We start from the raw sequence: 15,382 nt of genomic DNA on the forward strand, positions 1-15,382 counted from the left end.
GGGCAGATCACCTGAGGTCGGGAGGTCGAAACCAGCCTCACCAAGAAGGAGAAATCCCATCTCTACTAAAAATACAAAATTAGCTGGGTGTGGTGGCGCACGCCTGTAATCACAGCTACTCGGGAGGCTAAGGCAGGAGAATTGCTTGAACCCGGGAGGTGGAGGTTGCGGTGAGCCGAAATCGTGCCACTGCACTCCAACCTGGGCAACAAGAGTGAAACTCTCTCTCAAAACAAAATTAAAAAAATCAACAGTTTTCAAAAAAATATTACACAAAAAACATGAAGCGCATTCCTCTGGAGAAGTCTAATAACTGCAGCGGGGTTTTTGGGTTTTTTTTTTTTGTTTTTTTGGTTTTTTTTTTTTTTGAGACAGAGCCTTGCTCTGTCACTCAGGCTGGAGTGCAGTGGCGCGATCTTGGCTGACTGTAACTTCCGCCTCCGGGGTTCAAGCGATTCTCCTGCCTCAGCCTCCTAAGTAGCTGGGATTACAGGCACCTGCCACCACACACAGCATGTTGGTCAGTCTGGTCTCGAACTCCTAACCTCGTGATCCACCCACCTCCGTCTCCCAAAGTGCTGGGATTACAGGCATGAGCCACCACACAAGGCCCAACTGCAAGTACCAACACATTTACACCATTCAGGGCCAAGTTCTTTAACCAAATTCCCAAGTATTAAACTTACCCAACCTATTGCCAATCACTGACCCCACCACTTCTTACATGGAGGTGTAAGATTATATTCACAGCAGGCTATGCACAGTGGCTCACGCCTGTAATCTCAGCACTTTGGAAGGCCAAGGCGGGTGGATCATAAGGTCAGGAGTTCAAAAATCAGCCTGGCCAACATAGTGAAACCTCATCTCTACTAAAAATACAAAAATTAGCCAGGCATGGTGGTGCACACCCCTAGTCCCAGCTACTCAGGAGGCTGTGGCAGGACTCACTTGAACCCGGGAGGTGGAAGCTGTGGTAAGCCGAGATTGCACCATTGCACTCCAGCCTAGGCGACAGATAGAGACCCAATCTCAAAAAAAGAGTACATTCACAGCAAGGAGCAAAATGCCAGGGCAGCCAACAACTACACACTGAGCTGAAGCCACAGTGCTATTATGGCTCTTTACAATATCCAGAAGTCAAAGAAACTGAATGTAAAAAACAAAGAGGAGATCAGAAATCTCTCAAAAGGAAAAGAAAAAAAAAAGATGATTTACCCTATCCTCAGCACTTCAGCACTGACTTCTCTCCTGGCACTATGTTGTCAGTTCTTTCATCCTGTATGAATGTTTAAGTCCTTTCACAAGAGTGAATAACTAGATAGATTCTAATTGTTAAAGTATTCTTTCCACACACCCAGAAACCTAATTTTGTACTCAGGCTTAGCCTGCAGAGTATTCAGCAAATGCTGTTGCCTGAGAGAAAATGGACACATGCACAAAAGACATGTGTGTCTTCTGAAAATACAGAAAGGTGTCATGAAAAACAAGTAATAACATCCCACTGGCTGGGCATGGTGGCTCATTCCTGTAATCCCAGCACTCTGGGAGGTGGAGGTGGGTGGATCACCTGAGGTCACGTGTTCGAGACATCCTGGCCAACACGGTGAAACCCCATCTCTACTAAAAGTACAAAAATTAGCTGGGCATGTTGGCACATGCCTGTAATCCCAGCTACTGGGGAGGCTGAGGCATTGGAATGGCTTGAACCCAGGAGGTGGAGATTGCAGTGAGCCGAGATCGCACCACTGCACTATACAGCCTGGGCAACAAGAGTGAGACTCCGCTAAAAAACTTTTTAAAAGGCCGGACACAGTGGCTCACGCCTGTAATACCAGCACTTTGGGAGGCCGAGGCGGGTGGATCATGAGGTCAGGAGATCGAGACCCTCCTGGCTGATACAGTGAAACCCCATCTCTACTAAAAATACAAAAATTAGCTGGGCTTGGTGGCGGGCGCCTATAGTCCCAGCTACTCGGGAGGCTGAGGCAGGAGAATGACATGAACCCAGGAGGCAGAGCTTGCAGTGAGCTGATATCGCGCCACTGCACTCCAGCCTGGGCAACAGAACGAGACTGTCTCAAAAACAATAAAATAAAATAAAATAAAAAATAAAAAAAAGAAATAAAAAAAATCTTATTACTTTACAGTTTACAAAGCACTTCAACCACATCTATAACTGAAATTCCAAACACAACTCTCCCTAACTGCTGTTTTTTCCTCTAAGTAAGAATCTCAGGAATCATTATGCTTTCCTCTTTTCTTTAGCCACCAGGACCATCAAGGTAAATTCTTTTTTCTTTTTTCTTTTTATTTTTATTTTTTTTATTTTTTTTTTGAGATGGAGTCTCGCTCTGTCGCCCAGGCTGGAGTGCAATGGTGCGATCTCGGCTCACTGCAACCTCCGCCTCCCAAGTTCAAGCAATTCTCCTGCCTCAGCCTCCCAAGTAGCTGGGACTACAGGCGCGTGCCACCATGCCCAGCTAATTTTTTGTATTTTTAGTAGAGACGGGGTTTCACTGTGTTAGCCAGGACAGTCTCAATCTCCTGACCTCATGATCCGCCTGCCTCGGCCTCCCAAAGTGCTGCGATTACAGGCTTGAGCCACCATGCCCGGCCCATCAGGGTAAATTCTATAACCCATTATTCTGGTGCATATTTCTAACTTTACTCCAATTTATTTTCCTATCATGACCTTTTATTCCCATAGTCACATCTCACTACCACCTATCATACAATTTTACTAATTTCACATCAAAAACCTTTTGAGGCCGGGCGCAGTGGCTCACGCCTGTAATCCTAGTACTTTGGGAGGCTGAGGCGGGTAGATCACCTGAGGTCAGGAGCTCAAGACCAGCCTGGCCAATATGGCAAAACCCCGTCTCTACTAAAAATACAAAAATGAGCTGGCATGATGGCACATGCCTATAATCCCAGCTACTCAGGAGGCTGAGGCAGGAGAATCACCTGAACCTGGGAGGAGGAGGTTGCAGTGAGCCGAGATTGTGCCACTGCACTCCAGTCTGGGTGACAGCGAAACTCTGTCTGAAAAAATAAAAAACAAAAAACTACAAAAATTGGCTGGGGGCGGTGGCTCATGCCTATAATCCCAGCACTCTGGGAGGCTGAGGCAGGTGGATCACTTGAGGTCAGGAGTTCGAGACCAGCCTGGCCAACATGGTGAAACCCTGTCTCTACTAAAAACAGAAAAAGTAGCCGGGCATGGTAGCATGTGCCGGTAATCCCAGCTACTCAGGAAGTTAAGGCACAAGAAGTGCTTGAACCCAGGAGGCAGAGGTTGCAGTGAGCCAAGATCGCGCCATTGCACTCCAGCCTGGGCAACAGAGCAAGATTCCGTCTCAAAAAAAAAAAAAAATTAGCCAGGCATGGTAGTGGACACGTATAATCCCAACTGCTTGGGAGGCTGAAGCAGGAGAACTGCTTGAACCCAGGAGGAAGAGGTTGCAGTGATCTGAGATCCTGCCACTTCTCTCCAGCCTAGGTGAAAGGATGAAACTCCATCTCAAAAAAATAAAATTAAATTTAAAAAACCTTCTAAAATTAAACAAGGTAAAGATACATCATAAATATCTCTACAAGTTGCCATTTCAGAGGCATATATAATCAAGTACCATTCAGCATTAGAGAAGAGCATCTGACTGAACTTCCTTTTTTTTTTTTTTTTTTTTTTTTGAGACAGAGTCTTGCTCTGTCGCCCAAGCTGGAGTGCAGTGGTGCAATCTCAGCTCACTGCAATCTCCGCCTCCCAGGTTCAAGTGATTCTCCTGCCTCAGCCTCCCAAGTAGCTGGGACCACAGGCACCCGCCAACACACCTGGCTAATTTTTGTATTTTTTAGTAGAGACGGGGTTTCACCATGTTGGCCAGGCTGGTCTCAAACTCCTGACCTCAGGTGATCCGCCCACCTCAGCCTCCCAAAGTGCTGGGATTACAGGCGTGAGCCAATTGCAACCAGCCGAACTTCTTTTGTTTACACTGGAACAAGGTAATTCTTAAAGTTATAATCAGGCTAGGTTAAAATTATAGTCAGGCCAGGTACGTGGCTCACACTTTTAATCTCAGTACTTTGGGAGGCCAAGGTGCGAGGACTGCTTGAGACCAGGAGTTTAAAACCAGCCTGGACAACATTGTGAAACCCTGTCTCTACTAAAAATACAAAAATTAGCCAGGCATGGTGGTACACCCCTGTAATCCCAGCTACTCAGGAGGCTGAGGCACCAGATTGCTTGTACAAAGGAGGCAGAGGTTTCAGTGAGCCTAGATAGTGCCAGTGGGTGACAAAGTGAGACTCTGTCTCAAAAAAAAGAAAAAGTTATAGTTGAAGAAGGCCTGCTGATGATTCCTTTGACCAAGCACATAATGTTAAGCCTTGTGAATTCTGAGCATAATGAAAAGGCTCTAAGAGTACATGTGTAAGAGAAACAAAATATGAAAGATGGATTATTCAGCTTTAACATGTTAACCAAATGCTACTAGCACAAATGCTAAGGCAATCTACCCAGGTAGACAAGATTCATTGTCTAAGAGAGTCCATCAGCAGGTACAACAGAAAGACATTTCTAGGGAATGTCAAGACTCCCCAGTTTGGGAAATACTTGGGCTCCCTCCCAGTTTAACATAGTAGTCCCTGTTAATTACAAGGTATAAAAATTAACTGGAGCTCTTTCCTTTTGTCTCACTGCACTCCTGAGAGCAAGATGGGTCACCAGCAGCTCTACTGGAGCCACTCGCAAAAATTCAGCCAGGGTTCTCTCTCTTGTTGCGTATGCTCAGACCAGCAAGATCTGATCCAAATTACGGCCTCAATATGCCCCACCAGTGTTTCTGTCAGTAAGCGAAGAAAATGGGTTTCATTAAATTGGGCTGCATTAAGTTGGACGAAGTGATCTTCCTTGAATGGATTATCCAAGGCATCCACCCCAATGAAAGAAACCATGATAGCTCTTTTTTAATACATAATAAAAATAAAATTTTTAAAACCCTTCAAAAAAAAAAAGACTAACAGCACTGAAGAGTAAGACTGGTTGACATGTCAGGGGTGGGTATCAGAATATCATTGTTAAGATGGCCACACCAAGTGAAAGAAAAAGAAGGTACAAGTGGAGTCAAAATATATTCATCCACTGAATTTTTTTTTTTTTTTTTTGAGACGGCATTTCGCTCTTGTTGCCCAGAGTGGAGTGCAATGGCACAATCTCGGCTCACCGCAAACTCTGCCTCCCAGGTTCAAGCAATTCTCCTGCCTCAGCCACCCAAGTAGCTGGGATTACAGGCGTGCGCCACCACGCCCCACTAATTTTGTATTTTTTGTAGAGATGGGGTTTCTCCATGTTGGTCAGGCTGGTCTCCAACTCCTGACCTCAGGTGATCCGCCTGCCTTGGCCTCCCAAAGTGCTGGGATTATAGGTATGAGCCACTGCACCTGGCCTCACCCACTGATTTTTTTTTTTTGCCTGGTTCTCTGGAATTATCTCCTATAGGCTGTCAATCTATGATGGATACTGATATATCCTAGTGCTAAAAGAGTGCAAGCAAAGTGGGTAAGCTCTGTGGAACTGTCCTCCAAATTTCCCTTCCCCCAGGGCAAAGCTTCTACCTCTGTCCCTCATAATCCAGTACAGAGGCTACAGTTCAACCAATCGACTTTAATTTTTTTGCCCTATTTCATCAACCAGTTTATCTATCCCACAGCAGTTTACAGAGAAAACAGATTTCACAATACAAGAATAAAACACTCTCAAGTCAAAGACTTGACCTTAGGCTTTTAGTAATGAAATTTTCAATGTTATTCAGGAAAGAAAAAAATCTAAAGGTATAAAAATTACTGTCAAAATAAGTAACTTTTTTTTTTCTTTGGAGACGGAGTCTTGCTCTGTCGCCCAGGCTGGAGGGCAGTGGTGCGATCTTGGCTCACTGCAAGCTCCACCTCCCGGGTTCATGCCATTCTCCTGCCTCAGACTCCCGAGTAGCTGGGACTACAGGCGCCCACCACCACACCCGGCTAATTTTTCATATTTTTAGTAGAGACAGGGTTTCACCGTGTTAGCCAGGATGGTCTCGATCTCCTGATCTCGTGATCCGCCTGCCTCGGCCTCCCAAAGTGCTGGGATTACAGACATGAGCCACCGTGCCCAGCCCAAAATGAGTAACATTTTCAAATACATAACTCATTTGGGTGGGAAGATGTGTCTAGTGTTTCCTAGTATTTGTTTTTTAAATTTCCTTTTTTTCATTTTTTTTTTCTTTTCAAAGAGACAGGATCTCACTGTCACACAGGCTGGAGTGCCTGAACTCCCTGGGCTCAAGTGATCCTCCCTTGAGTAGGACTACAGGCATATGCCACCATGCCCAGCTAATTTTTTTCCTTTTTATTGTAGATACAGTGTCTCACTATATTGCCCAGGCTGGTCTCAAACTCCTGGCCTCAAGCAACCCTCCTGACCCAGCCTCCTGAGTATCTGGGATTAGAGGCAGGAGCCAATGTACCCAGCTTTATTTTCTAGTATTTTGCTCCATATCCATTATCTTTTTTTTTTTTTTTTGAGACAGAGCCTTGCTCTGTCGCCCAGGCTGGAGTGCAGTTGTGCGATCTCAGCTCACTGCAACCTCTGCCCTGCTTCCCGGGTTAGAGCAATTCTCATGCCTCAGCCTCTCGAGCAGCTGGAATTACAGTAACGCGCCACGACGCCCGGCTGATTTTTGTATTTTTAGTAGACACGGGGTTTCATCATGTTGCCCAGGTTAGTCTCGAACTCCTGGCCTCAACTGATCCGCCCACCTCGGCCTCCAAAAGTGCTGGGATTACAGGCATAAGCCACCACGCCTGGCCCAATATCCATCATCTTTTTTTTTTTTTGAGACAGAGTCTCCCTCTGTCACCCAGGCTGGAATGCAGTGGCGGGATCTCGGCTCACTGCAACCTCTGCCCCCGATTCAAGCGATTTTCCTGCCTCTCCTGAGTAGCTGGGATTACAGGCACGTGCCACCACACCTGGCTAATTTTTGTATTTTTAGTAGAGACAGGGTTTCACCATGTTGGCTGGTCTCAAACGCCTGACCTCGTGATCCACCTGCCTCAGCCTCCCAAAGTGCTGGGAGTACAGGCGTGAGCCACCACGCCCAGTCCACATTATCTTAATTGTATACTATGGGTATAATTTTACAGGCAAAAAAAAAAAAAAAATTTTTTTCATGAGACTTCTTTCCCTCACTTCCCTCCGAAGACCTCAGTTTGGCCCAAAAATGAGGGCTCTCTGCCGGGCGCAGTGGCTCACGCCTGTAATCCCAGCACTTTGGGAGGCCTTTTTTTTTTTTTGAGACAGGGTCTCAACTCTGTCACCCAAAATGGAGTGCAGTGGCACAATCTCGGCTCACTGCAACCTACGTCTCCTGGGCTCAAGTGATCCTCCTACCTCAGCCCTCCAAGTAGCTGGGACCACAGGCACAGCGCCACCATGCCTGGCTAATTTCTGTATATTTTGTAGAGACATGATCTCACCATGTTGTCCAGGCTGCTCTCGAACTCCTGGGGGCTCAAACTATCCACCCTCCTCAGCCTCCCAAAGTGCTGCGATTACAGGTGTGAGCCACTGCGTCCAGCCAAAAAATGAAAAACTTTTTAATGTAAGTATACAAGTGGCCCAGGAACGGTGGCTCATGCCTATAATCCCAGCACTTTGGGAGGCCGAGGCAGGTGGATCACCTGAGGTTAGGAGTTCGAGACTAGCCTGGCCAACATGGTGAAACCTTGTTTCTACTAAAAATACAAAATTAGCCGGGCGTGGTGGTGCACACTTGTAGTCCCAGCTACTGGGGAGACTGAGGCAGGAGAATCACTTGAACCCAGGAGGCGGAGGTTGCAGTGAGCTGAGATCGCGTCACTGCACTCCAGCCTGGACTACAGAGCAAGACTTTATTTCAAAAAAAAAAAAAAAAAAAAAAAAAAAGGAGTTTGAGACCAGCCTGAGCATGGCAAAACTCCACCTCTACAAAAAATACAAAGATGAGCTAGGTGTTGTGACGTGTGCCTGTGGTCCCAGGATAGGGAGGCTAAGGCAGAAGAATCGCTTGAGCCGAGGAGGCAGAGGTTGCAGTGAGCCTAGATGGTGCCCATTGCACTCCAGCCTCGGCAACAGGAGTGAAACCCTGTCTCAATAAATAAAAAGAAAAAAGTGTAAAAGCAATTGCTCTTAAATGGGAGTAATTACGAGAGAAATAAAGTACCTGGCATGACAAAGAGTTCCCCTCCCTCCAATGCTACTGGCATCACAGCCTGTGATATTCTTTACTTCGCTAGTTCACTAGTGAAAGCATCCTGCCAATTCGATCTCAAACTTTGTTCCATTATGCCAAAGGGCCACTAAAAAAAAAAAAAAAAAAAAAAAGGCCCAGTGGTAGGGTAGAATGAGCTGGCAATAGGATCACTTTATATTGAGTCATTCTGTCTCTACAGAGATAATTTTCCATCCACATTACCACTTAGAACACATATGTAATAAAAAACAGAACTGAAGAAAAATGGACTTTACCATTACTGCTTTTGGGAGTTGGGGGCAAGTACTCCTGCAATTATAGGAGAATGGTCAACATTTGTATTCATCTCATTATTAAGTTTACAGTCTCTAAATTTCAAGCAAAATTATGGCAAAACAATTCTTTGGCCCTGTAATGTGCCACTTGGTTGCACAGTTTTGTCTGGTTTATCTTGCCTAGGGAAGCAGAAACAGATCTAGAACGTGGACACTGGAATCAAAGACTGATTTCAAAAACCAGGTATTACCTGGTAACAAAGCCTCAGTTTCTCACTTTTCAAAAAAGGGTATTTATCTCCTTCATAGGATTGCTGTAAGGATTATATATAGGAAATACAATAGCCCAATGCCTAGAACATATAAATATTTCCGTTATCATCAGTGGTTCTCAACCTCTTTTTCACTCTGACCCACATGACAGATCAGGCACCCTCTTACACCTCCTATCCGTAACAGTGGCTAATAAGGGCAGAGATTCTCCACCTAGAGATGTGCCCCTTTGCTCTTCAATTATGCTACCCTTAGCACAGCTGCCTATCAAGTGGCCTCTACCTGTTGCCATGTGTTTCCCAGCAGGATGACTGAGCTGTAAGACCCACTCCTTTACCTGAGCGCAAAACTGAAGAACCTCTCGTCTTCCCTCATTCAATCAACACGAAAGTTTCATAATACCTCCTGGAAAAGGGGCATGAAAAACACAAGTCTCTGATCTAGAATAGTTCAGTCCAGAAGGTGAGAACAACACTAAAACCAGTACAATACACTATAATGACTACAGAAAAGTAACCTGTGGGTGGTCCACAACTGCAATATACCAACTACCCTGAGTTCCCCAACGTTGTTCATTATTTCATGCGTCCAGCCCAAAGAATTGTGTTGTAATGATGAATGCCAATTCCAAGGTCACTGGTTTAGGCCACCTGAGTGGGAAACAGGTTTTGCCATTTACTATTATTAACTCAAGTTTGCTAACTGACCTGGATAAAACTGCTCAGTAAGTCAGATGTGATTCCTTATGATAGGGCTCAGTGTAAGACAGAGGCCTGAGTAAGCCTTCAATAAACGCTTCTTAACTTGCACAGCAATAATCAGATCTTAGAGCTCTGCCAAGGACTGACCTAGAGTTTGATTTGCTCACCTAGCAAAGAACCTGCCAGGCACCTTGACTCTCCTTTCAGCTTCCACCCATCAGTCTATCATTAGGAAACACAACAAAAGATCTTATAGATCTTTATTACAGATTTTAAAAAACCAATGTTTATGATTTTTGAATAACATTTAGCCAAATAGTACAGAGATTACAGGGTTTGTTTTTGCCCCACTACACAGATGCCACCCAAATCAAATACCTCCTACCTTGATTTCCTGCTACAGGTAGAGCTGCCTACAGTATACACCCAGATATTCTGCTTCTACCTCAAACTCAACAGGTGTCCTATCAAATGTAATCACTGTGTCCCAAACCAGAGGCACTCTGTACTTTTCCTCCATTACTTCATCTTTCCAGGATATAAGATTTCTAATTCAATCACCAAATTCTGTGCATATCTTCATCCCAAAGAAAGAGAAAATCTTTCTTTTTTCTTTTTTTGGAGACAGAGTTTCGCTCTTGTCACTCAGGCTGGAGTGCAATGGTGTGATCTCTGCTCACTGCAACCTCCACCTCCCGGGTTCAAGCGATTCTCCTGCCTCAGCCTCCCGAGGAGCTGGGATTACAGGTGTGCACCACCATGCCAGGCTAATTTTTTTGTATTATTAGTAGAGACGGGGTTTCACCATGTTGGCCAGGCTGGTCTTGAACTCCTGACCTCAGGTGATCCACCTGCCTTGACCTCCCAAAGTGTTGAGATTGCAGGGGTGAGCCTTCTTTCAGCCTTACAGCTGAAAACCTTCCTTTTCTTTTCTTTTTTTTTTTTTTTTTTTTTTTTTTTTTTTTTTTGAGACAGGGTCCCACTCTGTTGCCCAGGCTGAAGTGCAGTGGCATGATCTCTGTTCACTGCAACTTCTGCCACCCACGCTCAAGCAATCCTTCCACCTCAGGCTCCCAAGCAGCTGGAAACACAGGCATGTGCCCCCACGCCCAGCTAATTTTTTACTTTATTTTTTGAGATGGAGTTTCACCCATTGCCTAGGCTGGAGTGCAATGGCAAGATCTCAGCTCACTGCAAACTCCCTGTCCCAGGTTCAAGTGACTCTCCTGCCTCAGCCTTCCAAGTAGCTGGGATTACAAGCATGCGCCACCACGCCTGGCTAATTTCTGCATTTTTAGTAGAGACAGGGTTTCACCATGTTGGTCAGGCTGGTCTCAAACTCCTTACCTCAGGTGATCCACCCACCTCGGCCTCCCAAAGTGCTGGGATTACAGGCATGAGCCACTGCACCCAGCCTGTCTTTGTTTCGACTATAGTAAAGAACTGGTCAGATGCAGTAGCTCACACTTGCAATCCCAGCACTCTGGGAGTCCAAGGCAGGTGGATCACTGTGAGCCTGGGCTCAAAGTAGAGCCTGGCCAACATGGCAAAACCCCGTCTCTACAAAAAATACAAAAGTAGCCGGGTGTAGTGTTGCAAACCTGTAGTCCCAGCTACTCAGGAGACTGAGGTGGGAGGATCGCTTGAACCAGGGAGACCGTGGTTGCAGTGAGCCAATATCATCATATCACCACACTCCAGCCTGGATGACAGAGCCAGACCTTGTCTCAAAAAAAAAAAAAAAAAGAAAAAGAAAAAAAAAAAAGGGCTGGGCATGGTGGCTCACACCCGTAATCCCAGCACTTTGGGAGGCTGAGGCAGGTGGATCACATGAGGTCAGGAGTTCAAGACCAGCCCGGCCAACATGGTGAAACCCTCTCTCTGCTAAAAATACAAAAATTAGCCAGGTATGGAGGTGGGTGCCTGTAATCCCAGCTACTCGGGAAGGTAAGGCAGGAGAATTGCTTAAACCTGGGAGGGGGAGGTTGCAGTGAGCCGAGATTGTGCCACTGCACTCCAGCCTGGGCGACAGAGCGAGACTCCATCTCAAAAAAAAAAAAAAAAAAAAAAACAACTATGGTTCACTTTTGGGGGGATCAGAGGAAGTATAATAAAATCAGACTTGCAGGTATGTTTGTACCTGATTTTTTCTGAAGTAAAACAGAAGCACTAGAAGCCTAATGAAAAATGTCAGTTCTCGCTAATCAGTACTGACGGGTGACACAAAATGAACCTTTCCAAATTCAACCTATACCCAATTTCAAAGAATACCCTGATCAAAACAGTCTAATCTTTTGGTTGGTCATTATCAAGAAATCAGGAAACATGGATAAGGCTAACCTCTCTTCTCAGTAAAATATGCTATGATTCCCACTATGGTTTTAGATTAATAAGACTGAACATGTTAAAATTAAAAATTAAACAATAACAAGAGGACAAAGGTGGTTAAAACCTAAAAGCCACAACCACTTCTCTCTGACACAATATATCAGTCCCATTTCAAATAAATTTCACTTGAGCAGCTGATGTTATCAACTTCCCCCTACTTTCAACTACAACATCTTAAAATCAAGTCACCCACACCCAAGAGAAAAGATTCAAAAATATGTATCTATCCTATAAACAACCCTAGCAGTTCTTATGTCAACAGTAAAAAAAAGAATCCTTTGTTCCAAAAAAAGTGTTCTTAAAAATGCGTTGTAGGCCGGGCGCAGTGGCTCACGCCTGTAATCCCAGCACTTTGGGAGGCCGAGATGGGTGGATCACGAGGTCAGGAGATAGAGACCATCCTGGCTAACACAGTGAAACCCCGTCTCTACCAAAAAAAATACAAAAAATTAGCCAGGCATGGTGCGGGCACCTGTAGTCCCAGCTACTCGGGAGGCTGAGGCAGGAGAATGGCATGAACCTGGGAGGCGGAGCTTGCAGTGAGCAGAGATCGCGCCAGTGCACTCCAGCCTGGGCAAAAGAGTGAGACTCCGTCTTAAAAAAAAAAAAAAATGCATTCTATAGGCCGGGCGTGGGTGGCTCACAACTGTAATCCCAGCACTTTGGGAGGCCGAAGCGGGCAGATCACTTGAGGTCAGGAGTTCGAGGCCAGCCTGGACAACATGGTGAAACCCTGTTTCTACTGAAAATACATAATCAGCCAGGCGTGGTGGTGCACACCTGTAGTCCCAGCTACTCAGGAGGCTGAGGCAGGAGAACTGCTTGAACCTGGGAGGCAGCAGCTGCAGTGAGCCGAGATCAAGCCGAGATCAGGCGACTACACTCCAGCCTGGGTGACAGAGCAAGACTCTGTCTCAAATGAATGAATGAATGAATGAATTGGCTATTTACTATTTAGCACCAGAATGATAAATGACCCAGTAACAGTATTACAATGATCAACCTTTATAACAAGTAACTGTTTGTACCAAATGAAATCAGCAATTTAAGTTTTTAAAGACATTCATTGAAAGCAGATATCCTAAGTGGACAGTGATTATAAAGGAATGTCAAAGCTAAAATAGTGAACTTTTTTTTACCTGATGTTCTGCATGAATGTTATCCCCAGTAGGCCATCGATGTTTGCTATTATTATAGCCGCCTCCTCCACTTCCTCCTCCCCCAAGCTGCTCACCATGCTGCCTCTGAAAGAAGTAGTCCACCATAGCGTCGTCCTGGGAACGGCCTGCAACTCCTATAGATCCTGGGACAGGGCTGGAGTGAGTCCCAGCTGCAAGAGCCTGATTTGCAGCTGGTTGTGGCTGCGCTTGCGACCCTGTTCCAGATGTCAAAACAACAGGCATGTTGGGATTAGCTGGTTCTTGAGGGTGATGTTTCAGGTGGGGGCTGAAAGAGTCCTGCCAAAGCACTGCTTTTCTCTTCAAGACACATGCAACGCTCATTCCACCAACACCTAAGGACAAACAGGTTACAAATATTTAATATTTCCATCTTTTGAAACATAAAACACACTAAGATAAAAACATGAACCCCATGTCTTTTACAATAAATAAATGTCGTTGGTGGCATGCACTCTGGCAAGGTATTGGGATCAGAACTCAATACTACCACTTCAGAGAAGTTTATGTTGTTAACCAACACATAGCAATACAGAATTAGACTTCTATCAGTCTACCCAACTTACTTATACCTCAAACCAACTGACAGTTTTTAAATGAACAAAAGCTTTTTTTTTTTTGAGACAAGAGTTTTGCCCCTGTTGCCCAGGCTAGGGTGCAATGACGCGATCTCGGCTCACTACAGCCTCCGCCTCCTAGACTCAAGCGACTCTCCTGCCTCAGCCTCCTGAGTAGCTGGTACTACAGGCGCCCACCACCACGGGTGGCTAATTTTTTGTATTTTTAGTAAAGACGGGGTTTCACCATGTTGGCCAGGCTGGTCTCGAACTCCCGACCTCAGGTGATCTACCCACCTCGGCCTCCGGAAGTGCTGGGATTACAGGCGTGAGCCACCGCGCCCAGCCCCAAAAGCCTTTTTAAAACTATCACAACTTCGGCCGGGTGTGGTGGCTCATGCCTGTAATCCCAGCACTTTGGGAGGCCAAAGTGGGTGGATCACCTGACGTCAGGAGTTCAAGACCAGCCTGGCCAACATGGTGAAACCCCATCTCTACTAAAAATATAAAAATTAGCCAGGTATGGTGCTGGGCACCTGTAATCCCAGCTACTCGGGAGGCTGAGGCAGGAGAATGGCTTGAATCCAGAAGGCAAAGGTTGCAGTGAGCCGAGATCATGCCACTGTACTCCAACCTGGGTGACAGAGCGAGACTCTCTCTCAAAAAATCAATCAATCAATCAATCACAACTTTACAGCTGGAGCAGACATATGCTAATAACTAAACAAAAGCCTAAACCCATATATAAGTAGCAATGGCTCAGATTGTGTAATTTGAAAGGATCCCTTAAAGTGTCCAACATATTGGCCAGGCGAGGTGGCTCACGCCTATAATCCCAACACTTCGGAGGCCAAGGCAGGTGTATCACTTGAGGTCAGGAGTTCGAGACCAGCCTGGCCAACATTATGAAACCCCATCTCTACTGGAAATACAAAAATTAACTGGGTGTGGTGGTACACACTTTTAATCCCAACTACTTGGGAAGCTGAGGCAGGAGAATCGTTTGAACCCGGGAGGCAGAGGTTGCAGTGAGCCAAGATCGCACCACTGCACTCCAGCCTGGGCGACAAATCGAGACTCTGTTTCAGTAAAAAAAAAAAAAATAATAAATAAATAAATAAATAAAACCTCCAATATATTGATAGGATATTTCTTAAAGAAACAATAAAACCCTCTGACCAAGAACAGCAGCAGAATGCTTTTAGCCTAAGCCCTCTCCTCAGTTGTCACTGATTTTTAAAAGCATTAATATTTTTACCAGTAACTTACAACTATTAACTGTAATCACATTATGCCATTAGTACTTCAACTACTATAAACAGGATGAGACCAAACCAAATTTAAACACTTCATATTAGTGTAGAAAGCCTCACTACAGGCTGGGCACAGTGGCTCACTCCTGTCATCCCAGCACCTTCGGAGACTTAGGCAGGGAGAATCGCTTGAGCCAGGAGCTGAAGACCAGCCTAGGCAACACAGTGAGACCCCCATCTCTATTATTTTATTAAAAAATAAGGCTCTAAGAAGGCCAATGGAGGTTGGGCACGGTGGCTCATGCCTGTAATCCCAGCACTTTGGGAGGCCGAGGCGGGTGGATCATGAGGTCAGGAGATCAAGACCATCCTGGCTAACATGGTGAAACCCCGACTCTACTGAAAACACAGAAATTAGCCAGGCTTGGTGGCACGCGCCTGTAATCCCAGCTACTTGGGAGGCTGAGGCAGGAGAATCACTTGAACC

At 45.5% G+C, this 15,382-nt stretch overlaps 1 protein-coding gene and 1 pseudogene across 2 annotated transcripts in view, besides 1 other annotated feature; one reads left to right on the top strand and one right to left on the bottom strand.

Annotated features, from left to right (window-relative positions):
• The window catches only part of PUM1 (pumilio RNA binding family member 1), a 134,212-nt gene that overhangs the window by 114,652 nt on the left and 4,178 nt on the right, over window positions 1–15,382 (bottom strand). For both annotated transcript variants that reach the window (NM_014676.3, NM_001020658.2), the window contains exon 2: window positions 13,047–13,420. In NM_014676.3, the coding sequence (NP_055491.1) occupies window positions 13,047–13,409 (363 nt within the window). In that variant the 5' untranslated portion in view covers window positions 13,410–13,420. The remainder of the gene's footprint in view (window positions 1–13,046; window positions 13,421–15,382) is intronic.
• LOC107985097 (40S ribosomal protein S29-like) lies at window positions 4,715–5,019 on the top strand (annotated as a pseudogene).
• Window positions 10,320–10,820: an enhancer, noted in NCBI's record as "H3K27ac hESC enhancer chr1:31529324-31529824 (GRCh37/hg19 assembly coordinates)". NCBI's record gives its function as "activates a minimal SCP1, AML or CMV promoter by ChIP-STARR-seq in primed H9 embryonic stem cells {active_cell/tissue: H9 hESC(primed)}" and the evidence as "EXISTENCE:reporter gene assay evidence [ECO:0000049][PMID:30033119]".

The sequence above is a fragment of the Homo sapiens genome, chromosome 1 (assembly GCF_000001405.40).
Source record: "Homo sapiens chromosome 1, GRCh38.p14 Primary Assembly".
Taxonomy (NCBI): Eukaryota; Metazoa; Chordata; class Mammalia; order Primates; family Hominidae; genus Homo; species Homo sapiens.